This window comes from Homo sapiens, chromosome 8 (genome assembly GCF_000001405.40).
Source record: "Homo sapiens chromosome 8, GRCh38.p14 Primary Assembly".
Taxonomy (NCBI): Eukaryota; Metazoa; Chordata; class Mammalia; order Primates; family Hominidae; genus Homo; species Homo sapiens.
The window spans coordinates 126,695,278-126,713,194 of NC_000008.11; the positions used below are offsets into that span (position 1 = coordinate 126,695,278).

Sequence of the window (17,917 nt, forward strand, 5' to 3'; positions counted from 1 at the left end):
GCAAGATTCCCTCCCAATCCTCGCCCAATTTGATGTACCCAGTGCTGGATCCCAGGAGAAATTTTGAAATAAACACAATTTCTGGTTAAAAGAATAGTCCTGGAGCCGAACTGATGTGGAGGAAACAGGCTCTGGGAATCGTAAAACCAGATGGGACAGGCTTTCTGGGCTCACACCCATGCTGCTGTGGCCTCCTGGTGTATCTCCCTGCATTTGTTCTCTTCATTCCAGTTTATCCTTTGCACGGTTACCAGGGCGATGTTTCTGAAACAACAAATCCGATGGCAACATCATTTCTGCTGAAAATTCTTCAGAGATTGCTTTTTGTCTCTAGGATAAGCCCAAACCTCTTAACATGGCATTCAAAGCTGCAAGTCCCCCTCACCATTCCTGCTGCTCACCACTCCCCACCTCCTCATACCTCAGGCTTGCAGGGCATACTGAACCGTTTTCTGCTTACAAATGACTAGGCTCTTCTTCACCTCTGCACCTTTGAAAAGGCTGTTTCCTCTGCTTGAGCCACTGCTCCTCCTCACCACCCTCCTCTCCATGCCCTGCCTGGGAAGCTATTCACCTTGCATCGCCGCTAGAATAGTACTTTCCCTACAGAGCAATCCCTCACCCTCTCCTCTCTCAGACATTTAGTCTCTGACTCTGGTTTCACACTTCCCCTGGTTTATTGCATTTATTTATTTGCATCTCTGTCTCCCTGCTTGTCTGTCAGCAACTGGGAGAGCCTGGTTCATAGTAGGTAGTCAGAAATGCTTATTGATTGCATCAGCAGAGGTAAATATATGCATCTGAGCTATAGAATGAACCCAATTGTCTTCTTATTTATGCAAAGAGGAGCAGATTAAAAATTAACAAACATATCCATTCCCTAAGAATATCTCATAAAGAAGCATCAGAAAATGCCAAGCATTTGGCCTTGGGGGTCATAAACCAGGCCCAGAATATATGTTTGTTTTGTTTTGTTTTGCTTTCTCCAAACTGCTGGGGCCAATGACTTGTTGAAGCTGAACTATTTGGCTGAATTAGTAATGACTGTGCCTCACCTGGTGAAAATCAAAAGGCTGCAAATAAGTGCTGTGTTGTGAGTGTTAGCAGTGCTTTCTTACAAGCAGGATTTATGAAAATCTTAAAGGACTGAGGAAGAGCCACACTTACAGTCTGCGTGATATTCAGGTAATATTTTCAGAAGGGTTATAGCACTTCTATCAGTCATTCTGACACCGGATTTGATGGCCTCTGCCCTCTTCTTGCTACCTTCTTGTGTGATACACAGATAAGATATGGATTGGAAAAGAATAAGAAGATGTTCCATGGCTCTGAAAAGAGGACCATGTATCTGACCTAAATTAGTCAAATCACTTCACTTCACTTTCCTCCTGACACCCTGGGTTGGGCTGGGTTTCCTCAGCTCTGCTCTCACAGAATTACACATCTCTCCATTTTAGCTGCATACTCAGTTTGTCATGTACATTTGCTTATTGTTTTGCTTAATGCAAGCATTTGCTTATTGTTTTGCTCTTCCAGCAGACAGGAAGCAACATGTGGACAGGGACTACATTCTTAGTACCTAGCACAGGGTCTGGCATATGGTCAGCATGTCTTGCTGAATGAAGTGATGGATAAAAGACCCTGTTCAGATAGCATGTCTATGTACAAGTGTGTGTAGGTATATGAGGCGGGAGCAGGGGAAACAGGAGCTGGAGGACATGTAATTGATGTGTGCCTGTGAATGAACATATATCTGCTTCATTTTGGTCTTGTATTGCAAGTCAACAATCTTCTGCATCCCAGCTTTGCCAGGTAATAAAAGCAAGCTGAAAATGCTTGCTGATATTCTTGGCAAATATTTCTCAAACTGCCCTTTCTGGAAGAAGAACTTGCCAAGATTTACTTTCCGTAGTCTATGTTATGAAAACAATAGATTTTAAAAATTGCTCTCCAGTAGAAATGTATAGGATCATTTGGAATACGCATTTTAAAAATTACACATCTCTTCCCTGTTCCCCTGGAGATGTACAAGCAAGCTCATGGCAAGTTATGCCCTCTCTGCTTCTCAGCTCAAAATCATTATTCCAGATAATGCAAAAGGTAGTCTCCAAACCCCTTGAGGACAGGGATTATGTCTCCTTTGCTCATCATTTCATCCTCTGTGCTTACAACAGTGCCTGAAACATGTCAGATGCATAATAAGTAATTGTTGAGTGAACCATTGAAACTTATTCCTGTCATCTGTATTTGTGCCTGCTTTTATTGGTCTAGTTTGGATTTTTGGCTCTTTTGACACCTTGTCCTGTCTCCCTAGGATTTGGCTCTCCTCTTGGTTTCTCATCAGTTAATATCCTGGTGCTGCAGCCTGTTGCTTTCTCTGTCTGTTGGTGTGGTCTTGGCATCTCCCATCATCTTGAGAGAGCACTTCCTGCCTTAGCTCTCTGGTTTCCTAGAACTGACATCTGCTCCTGCTTTTTGGCCCTTATCTAAATCTGAGCCCTATCTTTTTCTTCTTGAGGTAGGAGATCTGGAAAGTATTTAATGCTAATAGAGATACATCAAGGTGATATATCTCCAAATAGGGAAACCATTTGTCCACTTAATAACTTCCTTTAGTGGCTTTTGCAGGCAGTCAATTAAAAGTTGAAAGAACACTGGGTAGTAAGGCACAGGGCATGAGTCCTAGCCTAAAGTCTCCTCAGGTGGTGTATTAGCATTTTCCAGACCAACAGAACCAACAGGATATGTATGTATAGACATACCTTAGAGATATTGTGAGTTCATTTTCAGACGACTGCAATAAAGCAAATATTGCAATAAAGTGAGTCCCATAATTTTTTTTGTTTCACAGTGCACATAAAAGTTATGTTTACACTATGATGCAGTGTATTAAGTGTGCAATAGCATTTTTCTAAAAAACAATACATATACATACCTTTATTAAAAAGGCTTTATAGATTAAAAATGTTAATGATCATCTGAGCCTTCAGTGAGTCATAATATTTTGGTTGGTGGAGGGTCTTGCCTCCATTTTGATGATCTGACTGACCAGCGTGGTGGTGGCTGACAGCTGAAGTGGCTGTGGCAATTGACCAAAATATGACTACAATGAAGTTTGCCACATGGATTTACTCTTCCTTTTATGAAAGATTTCTCTGTAAAATATCATAGTATTTAATATCTTACCCACAGTAGAACTTTATCCAAAATGTGAGTCAATCTTCTCAAAACCTATATCTGCTTTATCAATGAAGTTGATGTAATATTCTAAACACTTTGTTGTAATTTTAACAATATTCACAGCATCTTCACCAGGAGTAGATTATGTCTCAAGAAACCACTTTCTTTGCTCATTCATAAAAAGCAACTCTTCATCTGTTCAAATTTTATCATGAGATTGCAGCAATTTAGTCACATTTGTAGGCTCCACTTCTAATTCTAGTTCTCTTGCTACTTCCACCACATCTGCAGTTACTTCCTCCAATGAAGTCTTGAATTCCTCAAAGTCATCCATGAGGGTTGGAATTAACTTCTTCCAAACTTTTTTAAACGTTAATACTTTGACCTCCTCACATGAAACATGAATGTTCTTAAGGGTACTTAAAATGGTTAATCCTTTCCAGTTTCCCAATGTACTTTGCCCAGATCCATCAGAGGAATTACTATCTATGGAAGCTATAGCCTTACAAAATATATTGCTTACATAATAAGACTTGAAAGTCAAAAATATTTCTTGATCCATAGGCAATGGAGCCAACCAATGAATGATGTGTTAGCAGGCATGAAAATAACATTAATCTGAGCTTCTCTCAGTAAACAAGGATCAAGTACATACCCATCCCTGTTGGCTGTAGCTCCTCTTACCCAAAAGCACCATCTACTGGCCTGTAGGTTACACCACACAGCCCAATATAAAACCTGCTGACAGAAGCGCACATAGCTACAGAGCAAAGTCAAAAGACTCTACCCAATATTCTGTACAGTCACACCCCTGTAATGATAAAGGTTAGAAATAGTTTGTCTTGAGGCCATGTCAGAGACCTTCACGGCAGCTCCTCCCATCATAGGCCTAGAGGCCCAGGAGGAAAAAGTGATTTTTTTGGACTGGGCCCAGGGTCTCCATGCTGTGTGCAGCCTAGGGACTTGGTGCCCTGTTGTCCCAGCTGCCCCAGCCATGGCTAAAAGGGGCCAATGTAGAGCTTGGTCTATGGCTTCAGAAGGTGGAAGATCCAAGCCTTGGCAGCTTCCATGTGGTGTTGAGCCTGCACAGAAGTCAAGAATTGAGGTTTGGGAACGTCCGCCTAGATTTCAGAAAATGTAGTGAAATGCCTGGATGCCCAGGCAAAAGTTTGCTGCAGGGGTGGGGCCCTCATGGAGAACCTCTGCTAGGGCAGTGCAGAAGGGAAATGTGGGGTCAGACCCCCCACATAGAGTCCCTGCTGGGGCACTGCCTCGTAGAGCTGTGAGAAGAGGGCCACTGTCCTCCAGACCCCAGAATCGTAGGTCCACCGACAGCTTAAACTGTGCGCCTGGAAAAGCTGCAGACACTCACCACCAGCCTGTGAAAGCAGTCAGGAGGGAGGCTATACCCTGCAAAGCCACAGCAGTGGAGCTGCCTAAGACCATGGGAACCCACATGTTGCATGAGAATGACCTGGATGTAAGACCTGGAGTCAAGGAAGTTCATTTTGGAGCTTTAAAATTTGACTGCCCTACTGGATTTTGGACTTCCATGGGCCCTGTAACCCCTTTGTTTTGGTCAATTTCTTCCATTTGGAATGGCTATATTTACCCAATACCTGTACCGCCATTGTATCTAGGAAGTAACTAGCTGATTTTTGATTTTACAGGCTCATAGGTGGAAGGGACTTTCCTTGTCTCAGATGAGACTTTGGACTGTGGACTTTGCTGAAATGACTAATGCTGAAATGAGTTAAGACTTTGGGGGACTGTTGGGAATGCATGATTGGCTTTGAAATGTTAGCACATGAGATTTGGAGGGGCCAAGGGCAGAATGATATAATTTGGAGGTGTCCCTACCTAAATCTCAATTTGAGTTGTATCTCCCAGAATTCCCAAATGTTGTGGAAGAGACCCAGGGGGAGGTAATTGAATTAGGGGGCCAGTCTTTCCCATGCTATCTTCATGACAGTGAATACGTCTCACCAGATCAGATGAGTTTATCAGGGGTTTCCGCTTTTGCTTTTTCCTCTTTTTTCTCTTGCCACCACCAAGGCGCCACCATAAGAAGTGCCTTTTGCCCTCTGCCATGATTATGAGCCCTCCCCAGCCATGTGGAACTGTAAGTCCAAGTAAACCTCTTTTTGTTTCCAGTTTCGAGTACGTCTTTATCAGCAGCATGAAAATGAACTAAAACAAGGTTCAATTAAGCAAGAAGATTTAACTATCTGAAATATATACACATCTGACATTGGAACAGCCAGAGTCATAAACAAGTACTTCTAGACCTACAGAAAGACTTAGACGGCCACACAATAATAGTGGCATCTATAGAGTACTCCACCCATCAATCACAGAATATACATTCTTCTCATCTGTACATGGAATATGCTCTAAGATCAACCACATGCTTGACTATAAAACAAGTCTCAATAAATTAAAACAAATAAAAATCATACCAACCATACTCTTGAAACACAGGGGAATAATAGAAATAATAGAAATCAATACTAAGAAGATCTCGGAAAACCACACAATTACATGGAAATTAAACTACTTGCTCCTGAATGACTTTTAGGCAAACAATGAAATCAAGGAAGAAATCAAAAACTTCTTTGAAATAAATAAAAACAGATATATAACATACCAAAATCTCTGAGGTGCAGCAAAAATAGTATTAAGAGGAAAGTTTATAGTGCTGAATGCCTACATCAAGAAGACAGAAAGATCTCAAATTAGCAATGTAACATCATACCTAGTGGAACTAAAAAAACAAGAACAAATTAACCTCAAATCCAGAAGAAGACAAAAGTCACAAAAATCAGGGTAGAACTGAAAGAAATTTTGACTCCAAAATCCATACAAAGAATCAATCAATCAAAAATTGTTATTTTTAAATAAATAAACAAGATTGATAGACCACTAGCTAGATTAACAAACAAAAAGTGAGATTACCCAACTAAGCAGAATCAGAAATGACAAAAGGTGACATTACAACTGACCCCACAGAAATACAAAAGATCCTCAGAGACTATTATGAACACCTCTATGCACATGAACTAGAAATTCTAGAGGAAATAAGTACATTCCTAAAAACACACAAACTTCCAAGATTGAATCAGGAAGAAATTAAAACTCCGAACAGACCAAGAATAACTTCCAAAATTGACTCAGTAATAAAAATCCTACCAACCAGAGAAAGCCCTGGACCAGACTGATTCATAGCCAAATTCTACCAGACTTACAAAGAAGAGCTGGACCAATTCTACTGAAAATATTCCAAAAAATGAAGAAGAAGGTACTTCTCACTAACTGATTCTATGAAGCCAGTATCACCCTAGTGCCAAAACGTGGCAAAGACAAAATGAACAAAGAAAACTACAGGCCAATATTCTTCATAAACATAGATGCAGAAATCCACAACAAAATACCAGCAAACCAAATCCTGCAGTATATAAAAATTTTAATTTGCCATGATCAAGTAGGCTTTATACCTGGTTCAACATACACAAATAAATAAGTGTGAGTCACTACATAAACAAAGTTTTTAAAAAATTATATGATAATAAATGTAGAAAAATCTTTTATTAAAATCCAACATCCCTTCTTTATTAAAAAACCCTCAATAACTTGGCATCTAAGGAACATACCTCAAAATAATTAGAGCCGTCTGTGACAAACCCATAGCTAACATCATACTGGATGGGCAAAAGCTTAAAGCCTTTCCATTAAAAACAGGAAAAAGACAAGGATACCCACTCTTATTACTCCTTATTCAATGTAGTACTGAAATTCCAAGCCAGAGCAATCAGGCAAGAGAAAGAAATAAAAGGAATCCAAATAGGAAAAGAAAATGTCAAATTATCTCTTTCTTTACTGACAATATGATTCTATACCTTGAAAACTCTGAGGACCCTGCCAAAAGGCTCCTACAACTAACAAATGACTTTGGTAAAGTTTCAGGACACAAAATCAATATACAAAAATCAGTAGTATTTCTATATATCAATAACATTCAATCCAGAGCCAAATGAAGAATGCAATGAATGCAATCCCATTTACAATAGCCACAAAAAAATAAAATACCTAAGAATATATCTAACCAAACAGGCAAAAGATCTATACAAGGAGAACTACAAAACACTGCTGAAAGAAATCATAGATGACACACAAAACAATGAAAAAAATTCCATGCTCACGGATTGGAAGAATCAATATTGTTTAAATGGTCATACTTCTCAAAGCAATCTACGGATTCAATGCTATTCTTATCAAACTACTGTTATTTTTTCACAGAATTAGAGAAAACTATTTTAAAATTCTTATGGAATCAAATAAGATCCCAAATAGTGAAAGCAATTCTAAACAAAATGAACAAAGCTGGAGGCATCACATTACCCAACTTCAAACTATACTATAAGACTAAAATAACCAAAACAGCACAGTACTGGTACAAAAACAGACGCATAGACCAATGAATAAAACAGAATAGAAAATGCAGAAATAAAGTTGCACACCTACAACCATGTGATCTTCAACAAAGTCAACAAAAATAAGCAATGGAGATAGGACTCCCTATGCAATAAATGATGCTAGGATCCCTAGGTAGTCGTATGAAGAAGAATCAAACTGGACTTCCTATCTTTCACCATATTCAAAAATTAACTCAAGATAGATTAAAGACTTAAATGTAAGACCTCAAACTTACAAAAATCCTAGAAGGAAACCTAGGAAATACCGTTCTGGACATGTGCCTTGGCAAAGCATTCATGACTAAGTCTTCAAAAGCAATTGTAACAAAAACAAAAATTGACAAGTGGGACCTAATTAAACTAAAGAGCTTCCACACAGGAAAAGAAACTATCAACAGAGTAAACAGACAACCTACAGAATAGGAGAACATATTTGCAAACTACACAAATATTTGCAAACTTTGCAAATCAACAAAGGTCTAATATCCAGAATCTATAATGAACTTAAACAATTAAATGAGCAAAAACCAAATAACCCTGTTAAAAGGTGAACAAAAGACACGAACAGACACACTTCAAAAGAAGACATACAAACATCCAACAAACATATGAAAAAAATACTTCACTAATCATCAGAAAAATGCAAATCAAAACTACAGTGAGATAACATGGTCACAACTGCTATTATTAAAAAGTCAGAAAATAAGGTGCTGGTGAGTCTATGGAGAAAAGCGAATGTGTATACACTCTTGTTGGGGATGTAAATTAGTTCAACTACTGTGGAAAGCTGTTTGGAGTTTTCTCAAAGAACTTAAAACAGAACTACTATTCAACCTAGTAATCTCATTACTCTGTATACACTCAAGGGAAAATAAATTGTACTGAAAGGATACATGCATTCATGTTCAGCACATCTCTATTTACAGTGGCAAAGCCATCAACCTATGGGCCCATCAACAGTGGATAGAATAAAGAAAATATGTTATTGATACTTATACACTGTGGAATATTACATAGCCATGAAAAAGAACAAAATCATATTCTTTGCAGCAACATAGATGCAGCTGGAAGCCATTATCCTAAGAAAATTAATGCAGGAATGGAAAACCAAATACTGCATGTTTTCACTTATAAGTGGGAGCTAAACACTGAGTACACATGGATATAAAAAAAAAGAACGCTAGAAACTGAGGACTAAGTGGGGGACTACTACAGAGGGAATGGGACAAAGGCTAAAAAGCTACATATTGGGTAATATGCTCACTACCTGGGTGATGGGATTGTTTGTAATGCAAACCTCAGCATCACACAATGTACTCATATAACAAGCCTGCACATGTACCTCATGAATCTGAAATAGAAGTTAAATTTATTTAAAAAACAATGAGATACTATTTCACACCACCTGGATGGTTACATTAAAAATGACAAATAATAATATGTTAGCAAAGGTGTTAGAAATCTCATTCTCTCATACACTAGTGATGGGAATGTAAAACGGTGCACGTTGTCATTCCTCAAAAAGTTAAATATAGAGTTAGGATATAACCCAAAATTGCACTCCTAAGTATATACCCAAGAAAAATGAAAACATATGCCCATATAAAAACTTGTATATGAACGTTCATAACAGCATTAGTCATAATAGCAAAAAAGTCAACACCCCAAATGTCCATCAACTCATTAATAGATAAATAAAATGTGCTAAATCCATACAGTGGAATATTATTCAGCCATAAAAGGAATGAAGTACTGACAGATGTTGCAATATAAATGAACCTTGAAAACGTTATACTAATGAAATAAGCTAGTTACACTAGACCACATTATATGATTCTACTTACATAAAATGTCTACTGGGAAGTCTATTGAAGCAGAAAGTAGATTGGTGGCTGCCTAGGGCTGAGGGGAGTGGGTTTAGAGAGAAACACGGAGTGACTGCTAATGGATACGGGATTTTGTTTTGGGTGACAAAACTTCTACAATTGATTATGGTAATGGATAGAAAACTCTGTGACTATACTAAAAGCTGTGGAATTCTACACTTGAAAGTAGTGCCTTGTATGACATGTGCATAATATCTCAATAAAGCCATTTTAAAAATTCCCCTCTAAAAAAGAACTTTTCTTTTGCATTAACAACTTGACTAACTGGATAAAGACGCCTAACTTTTGTCCTATTTTAGCTTTTGACATGGCCTTCCTCACTAAACTTAATCATTTCTAGCTTTTAATTTAAAGTGAGAGGTGTCTAGTTTCAATATTGCTCTGTCTCAGAGAACAGAGAGAATTAAGAAGAGGAAGAAAGATGGGAGAATGGGTGGTTTGTGGAGCATTGAGAAAACACAACATTTATTAAGTCTGCCATCTTATATGGGTGTGACTGATGGTGCCCCCAAATAATTACAATAGTGACATCAAAGATCACTGATCACAGATCACCATAATAGATATAATAGTAAAGGAAAGGTTTCAAAGGATCGTAACAATTATCAAAATGTGACAGAGACATGAAGTGAGCACACGCTATTGAAAAAAATGGCTCAGACAGACTTACTCAATGCAGAGTTTTCAGAGACCTTCAATTTGTAAAAAAATGCAATATTTGTGAAGTGTAATAAAGTGAAACTACAATAAAAAGGTATGCCTGTATATAGAACGAGATTTATTTTAAGGAATTGGCTCATGAGATTATGGGGCTGACAAGTTCAAAACTTGCAGGGTGGGCTGGGGGCTGGAAACTAGGGGTGAGTCGATGCTAAGGTTCAAGTTTGAAGATCATTTGCTGCAGAATTAATCCTTGCTCAGAGAAGGTCAGTCTTTTGTTCTATTCTGGCCTTCAACTGATTGGATGCAGCCCACCCATTTTATAGAGGACAATCTGCTTTACTCAAAGTGCAATGAACAGATTTAAGTGTTAATCTCATCCCAAAACACTGTCACAGGAACATCCAGAATAATGTTTCACCACATAGCTTGTCACCCTGGCCTTGCCAAGTTGACACATAAAATTAGGCATCATAACAAGTTTCCAAGTAACCCTGAGTTTCTGTTCCTTCAATAAAAAACAAGAAAACTAGATTTGATATCTTTCAACTAAATAAGAAATCCTGCATTTAAGAACAAGACTGATAGGACAGAGTCCTGAGATTTATTCTGAGATAAAGAATGTTCAAACAGTTTTACCTCTTTTGATGCCTGACATCTAATACACTAACTTATGCCTTCCAGGGAATCATAGATGGTTTTTGAAGGGGACCTGAAGACCTAGCTTTGAAAAGAGCCCACTTAAATTTTTTGCTAAACATGATTGAGTAGTATCTCCCTGTCTCAAATGAGAGATAAATTACAATTTTAATTTTAGACATACTGCAATTTCTGTGTTGCCATTATTTCTTGACTTTTAATTTGTTCATTAATTTTCACAAGATTAATTGGCCTTTTGGGCTTTCAAATCAATATGATATTTTATCTCATGGCCTTTTCAAAACATGCTTTTCCTGGAGCAATTTATTGCAGATCATTTCTTTGAGGCTTGCCACCTTTTAGTTAGCCCTGCTGCACTGGACACAGAGAACACATTTTTCCCCTTTGCCCTTTGATTTTTCCTAGAAGGTCCAACATGTGACAAATTGCAGAGATTATGTGGCTTTTATTAAAGTACACACCTTGTGACCCTCTGAGAAAAGAAAAATGACCCAAGATAAATAAGGGAGTGTTTGTCCAGCATCCAGAAAAGGCTGCATGGAAAAGTTAAAGTGTAAATATCAGTATCACTGTTGAATATTTGCACAGCCCTTCATAGTTAACTGATACCACAGAGTGGTCTTGCAGATTCAAGTACCTAGAGGGCCAGGCAGAGAGTATAGGCAATGGGCTAGGTAGGTCTTAGGCAAACTGAAAAAATATATGCACACTAAAACCAGCTTCACCTGTTGCCAGGTGGGGGTGAAAGCCTCATGCTACTGAATTTTTCAATAAATGCCTGACATCTGAGATTCCGTGGTATATATCTTAATTTTAAAGGGCTGAAAATTTATTTAAAACATTTAAATCCTGTGAGAATCAACAAATTATGTCTGCAGGCAAGCTCCCAGACTACCAACAGCGAGTTTGTGTCCTCTCTCTATTTTAGAAATTAGAAGATTGAGATGATATACTAGCCTGTTACAAGAACACATTACAAAATGTTTGTTTCTGTTCGATGTGTAATAGGATGTTAACCAAGGACTCTTCTTTCTGCCTCTGTTTCAGCAGGGATGTGAAGACAAGACATATTAGCAGAGGTGGATTTACTCTGAAACTGATGAAGGTAAAGAAAGCATCAGTGTGGATTAGAACCCCCAATTCCTTTTCCAAGGCCTTGGGAGAGCCTTTTAATGTGATTACATGATCATTTATTTTTGCAAAACTTACAAAAGTAATACTTTCTAACAGCAATGCATTAGGATCACAGTCTATTTCCACTTGGAGTTTTCTTTCTTTCACACCTCCCAAAGGATAGGGTGTTGTTATAGTGACTAGGGGCATTTTTTGGAGATCTAGGTAGAAGGATCCATCTAGTAAGACTCCTCAATCTCAGCAAAATTGACATTTTGAGCCAGGTAATTCTTTGCTATGGTCACTGTCCTATACATTGAAGGATATTTAGCAGCATTTCTTACCTCTGCTTACTAGATCCTGGTAGCAACCCCCTATTCTCTCACCCACACAGTTGTGACAAAGTCCCCTGGAGAGATAAAATTGAACCCTCACTCCATTGATAACCACTGAACTAATGAGAAGTTGATTTGTGGACACAGCTAGTTTGGGTTGGAATATAATTACGTGGTTCCAGGTCACATTTGTGTTACAGTTTACATTCTCACTAACAGTTTGAGTGTGGGCATGGTTTTCACAAATACTTGACCTTCTCATAGCACCAACTCACATGGGTGCAGAACCAGGATGGCAGATCCCAGCACAGAAGCACATGGGATGAGGCAAAAATAAAAGTTGGAAATGGAACCACAGGCCTGGGTCTGTGGAAATGTCTTCCAAATCTTACAACTCTTGTGTGAAAGAAACTTGATGGAGACTTTCTCAGTTTTGGCAACAATCCTAGACATTTATATGACATTGCTAATAATGTGTTATGATGCTGAAAAAAATATCGAACTTATCATAATACAAATGAATTCCAAAACAACCATGCTAGAAGAAAGACTGGATTGTCTTTCTTTTCACACTGTTGAAAATGTTACAAAGTTGTTGTCTTTATAGAAGGAATCAAAGAGTCTATAGCTAAAATTAAAGGAAAAGGCATAATAGAAGAATGTTAGATAGTTAATAATGATATCACATTTTTGAGTTTTATAATGTTTGTAGTATTCATCAGCTTTCAAAAAATTTGTTTTGTTGTGATTTATGATATCATTCAAAAAATATTCTTTTAGTACATTGTTTTATACTATACTTTTATTTTTTGTAAAGAAGAAAAATCTCATTCTAAATTATAAAAACTTCAGGACACTTAAAACTTAGATTTGCATCTGGATTTTAGATATCAAAATGAGTTGTGAGATAAATACTTGGAGTCTTTATGAAATAACTTTCTGGATAAAGCTGCTGGTTCACTATGAGCTCCTTCACGTTTCCTCCTTCCTCTCCCTTCCCCATCTTCCCTCTCAATCCCCAAGGTGAGAAAAAATAGAATTCCACTTTTTACATTAAATGAAAAGAAATGCATTAAAAAGACCACTCAGAAAGCCTGATGCTTACTTAGCTCCTGATAGTGGGAGAACAATGGGGCAATACCTGATTGACTCTAAGCTGGAAAACTAAGAGAAAGTCAGGCTGGCTGGCTCTTCAGGCAACTGCAGCCAAGGTGAGGGGCCTGCAATGGACTGTCTACACTCAGAGTGTTTAGAGGTGTAGAAATGCATAAGCCAGATGTGGGCTGAGCACAAGAGAGAGCTCACATGCAGCTCTTTTACCTCCTGTCCGATAGGGCTACTCAGAAGTGTGATGGAGCTCCAAGGGAGACCATGCAAAGTGCTCTGAAAATCCTGGGGCTGAGGGGCCACCTCCAGCCAGAAAAATGTGTCACCACATCACAGAAGTTCTATTAAATCCAGGGAAGAACTTTGAAGAACCTACAAGGATGCCAGTGAGACACAATGCCAATCTTTAAACACCAGCCAGACCCAGATGTGTGCAGTAAAGTTATAGCAGTACTGGGTAAGTAAGGAATTTCCTGCGCTTCTTGAGGAATTCAAATTGTCTCTGTTTGCAGATGACATGATTGTATATTTAGAAAACCCCATCATCTCAGCCCCAAATCTCCTTAAGCTGACAAGCAACTTCAGCAAAGTCTCAGGATCCAAATCCATGTGCAAAAATCACAAGCTTTCCTATACACCAATAACAGACAAACAGAAAGCCAAATCATGAGTGAACTCCCATTCACGATTGCTACAAAGAGAATAAAATACCTAGGAATCCAACTTACAAGGGATGTGAAGGACATCTTCAAGGAGAACTACAAACCACTGCTCAAGGAAATAAGACAGGACACAAACAAATGGAAAAACATTCCATGCTCATGGATAGAAAGAATCAATATCATGAAAATGGCCATACTGCCCAAAGTAATTTATAGATTCAGTGCTATTCTCATCAAACTACCATTGACTTTCTTCACAGAATTAGCAAAAACTACTTTAAATTTCATATGGACCCAAAAAAGAGCCCATATAGCCAAGACAATCCTAAGCAAAAAGAACAAAGCTGGAGGCATCATGCTTCAAACTATACTACAAGGCTACAGTAACCAAAACAGCATGGTACTGGTACCAAAAGAGATATATAGACCAATGGAACAGAACAGAGGCCTCAGAAATACTGCCACACATCTACAGCCATCTGATCTTTGACAATTCTGACAAAAACAGCAATAAGGAAACAATTCTCTATTTAATAAACAGTGTTGGAAAAACTGGCTAGCCATATGTAGAAAATTGAAACTAGACCGTTTCCTTATGCCTTATACAAAAATTAACTCAAGATGTATTAAAGACTTAAATATAAGCCCTAAAACCACAAAAACCCTAGAAGAAAACATAGGCAATACCATTCAGGACATAGGCATGGGCAAAGACTTCATGACTAAAACACCAAAAGCAATGGTAACAAAAGCCAAAATTGACAAATGGGATCTAATTAAACTAAAGAGCTCCTGCACAACAAAAAAACTATCATCAAAGTGAACAGGCAACCTACAGAGTGGGAGAAAATTTTTGCAATCTATCCATCTGACAAAGGGCTAATATCCAGAATAGCACTTAAACAAATTTACAAGAAAAAAAAAAAACATCAAAAAGTGGGCAAAGGATATGAATAGGCACTTCTCAAAAGACGACATTTATGCAGCCAACAAACATATGTAAAAAATCTCATCAACACTGGTCATTAGAGAAATGCAAATCAAAACCACAATGAGACACCATCTCACGCCAGTTAGAATGGTGATCATTAAAACTCAGGAAACAACAGATGCTAGAGAGGATGTAGAGAAATAGGAACGCTTTTACACAGTTAGCAGGAGTGTAAATTAGTTCAACCATGTGGAAGACAGTGTGACGATTCCTCAAGCATCTAGAACTAGAAATACCATTTGACCCAGTCATCGCATTACTGGGTATATACCCAAAGGATTATAAATCATGCTGGTATAAAGACACATGCACATGTATGTTTATTGCAGCACCGTTCACAATAGCAAAGACTTGGAACCAACCTAAATGCTCATCAATGATAGACTGGATTAAGAAAATGTGGCACATATACACCACGAAATACCATGCAGCCATAAAAAAGGATGAGTTCATGTCCTTTGTAGGGACATGGTTAAAGCTGGAAACCATCATTCTCAGCAAACTAACGCAGGAACAGAAAACCAAACACCGCATGTTCTTACCCAAAAGTGGGAGTTGAACAATGAGAACACATGGACACAGGGAGGGGAACATCACACACTGGGGCCTGTCGGGGGGTGTGGGGCTAGGGGAGGGAGAGCATTAGGAGAAATACCTAATGTAGGTGATGGGTTGATGGGTGCAGCAAACCACCATGGCATGTGTATACCTATGTAACAAACCTGCACGTTCTGCACGTGTATCCCAGAACTTAAAGTATAATAAAAACAAAACTAAACAAAAAAAAAAAAAAGGAAAAAGTTTCCTGCTTTTTTTATCTCTCCTTTCTCCCCCAGTTCTTCCATACTCAGTTGCAGCTAGATCGTTGGGAAGAAGGTAGGGAAGAGCAAAGAGAAGGATGCACATCTTTCTGCACTGAAATCACCAGCCTCAGAGTTCATGTAGCAGGCTTGACTGTGTTTCCTTAGAAAGGCCTGCTTACAAGGCTGGCCCTTGGCTAGTATCTGAAAACTCAGCTTTCAAGAGGGTTTCTGTCTCTCTAACTGATCAGAGTAGCTCACTGTGCCTAAAAAGTTTATGCAAACAATATGTTTTATGCTGAACTCATGCTTTATTTCTGGGAGACTGGAATTTTGGTATGTGTTAATTAGGGGGTGCCTATGTGATAAGCCTCCAGTAAAAACGCTGGAGCTGAGCCTCCCTGGTTAGCAAACTTTCACCTGTGTTGTTACAATTCATTACTGGGGAACTAAGCTCATCCTATGTGACTCTATTAGGAGAGGGTCATGGGAATTGAGTTTAATTTTTCCAAGATTTTGCCTCATGCACTTTTTTCTTTGCTGATTTTGTTTTGTACCTCTTTGCTATAGTAAATCATAGTTATGAGTACCATTACATGATGAATCTTATAGGTCTTCCTAGCAAATCATTGAAACTAGGGGTGGTTTGGGGGAATCTCCTGACACAGGCCCTAGCTGTGAGGGTGGAGAGAAGTTTTACTTTTTAATAAAGATTGACTCTGTGATTATTACAGTGACTAGACACTTTCGGTGACTGAACTGACACTATATTTCAGGCTTAAAGTGGGCAGAAGTGCCATGGGGCTGATCAAGTTTTCGTCCAGTGATAGAACAACTAACCCCATGAAATAAGTCTAATGAGGTAGTAAAAAACAAAAACAAAATTGCATTCTGGTTACATCCCAGGAGGCAAGCTTGTTTGGCACCTCAGTGCCTTGTACATTATTCCATTGAATTCACATGGTAGCCATGGAAGGCAGGAAGGACAAAGGTTTCATCCTGCTTTACAAGAGATATGAGAGTACATGGTACATGAGAGTTAAAAAGACTTTCCCAAGTTCACATGGCAAAAATTGAAGTTCGGTTCTCCGATTTCAAGACCTGCCTGAGCTTTTTCCACTTTGTCACATTGACTGGTTACTTATTGTAGAGTGATGAGATCAACCCAAAATTCATTGTCCTATCCTCTAAAAATTAAAAAAAAGACTTAATTACTCCACCAATCTCTTTTCAAATTATCACTCATGTGTCCTTTGAGATATCTAACTTGTTGGGGAGCTTAGTTTGGACCGGGTCATCTTTCCTACTTCACCTAATGATCTTGGAGCAAACTGATCCATAAGAGAATTGAATCTGCATCTGTGCTCTCACAGGCACAGACAAGCCCTGGGCGGTGGTCTGTGTGTTTTTGTGTTTTTTGGGAGTGGGGGATAATTTTCTCCTACCTGAGTGACATGCTGAATGTGTTCCATCTGTTCTACTTTGATCAATAGATATGAAATCCAGTCTTTCTGCAAATACCATCAGTTATGGCTCAGCTAGATTAATTTCACAAGATTAAAAACTGAACAAAACTTTCTCAAACACCATCTGTTCAACAATGAGCTCCGATTTTTCCAGGCACTGTGCTAGATATGATGGATGCAGTAATGAATATAACATAGCTGTTGGGCCAGGGTGTTCAGAGAGTGGTAGAAAAGATAGACAAAAGAATAAAATAATGATTCCAGTGGGATGTACTATAGCAGGGTCAGAGAACAGGCTATTCAGACAGACTGCTGGCTCGGGGTCATACTCTAGCTCTTCCATTTTCTAGCTTTGTGAGTTTGGGCAAGTTTCTTAACCTTTCTGTGCCTCTGGTTTTTCATCTATAAATATTCAACTAACATCACCTGTAGGTGAAGCTATTCAACAATACACGAGCCAATGATATTAGTGGCTCTGGGTTGCAACTGTGACAAGAGAGCAAGTCATTGCTATTAAGAAGTTCCCCTCTAATGTGGGAGATGCATAAATAAACAGACAGCCATTATAATCCACAATAAGGGTTC

General features: G+C 38.6%; 1 long non-coding RNA gene across 4 annotated transcripts in view; it reads left to right on the plus strand.

Annotated features, from left to right (window-relative positions):
- LOC105375751 (uncharacterized) overlaps positions 1 to 17,917 on the plus strand; it is a 463,156-nt gene that overhangs the window by 137,402 nt on the left and 307,837 nt on the right. Inside the window, exon 3 of one of the 4 annotated variants that reach the window (NR_188071.1) lies at positions 11,906 to 11,963. The exons of 2 other annotated variants lie outside the window; for them this stretch is intronic. This is a non-coding gene — a long non-coding RNA (uncharacterized LOC105375751). The remainder of the gene's footprint in view (positions 1 to 11,905; positions 11,964 to 17,917) is intronic. One more of the 4 variants, NR_188072.1, reaches the window with a different exon arrangement.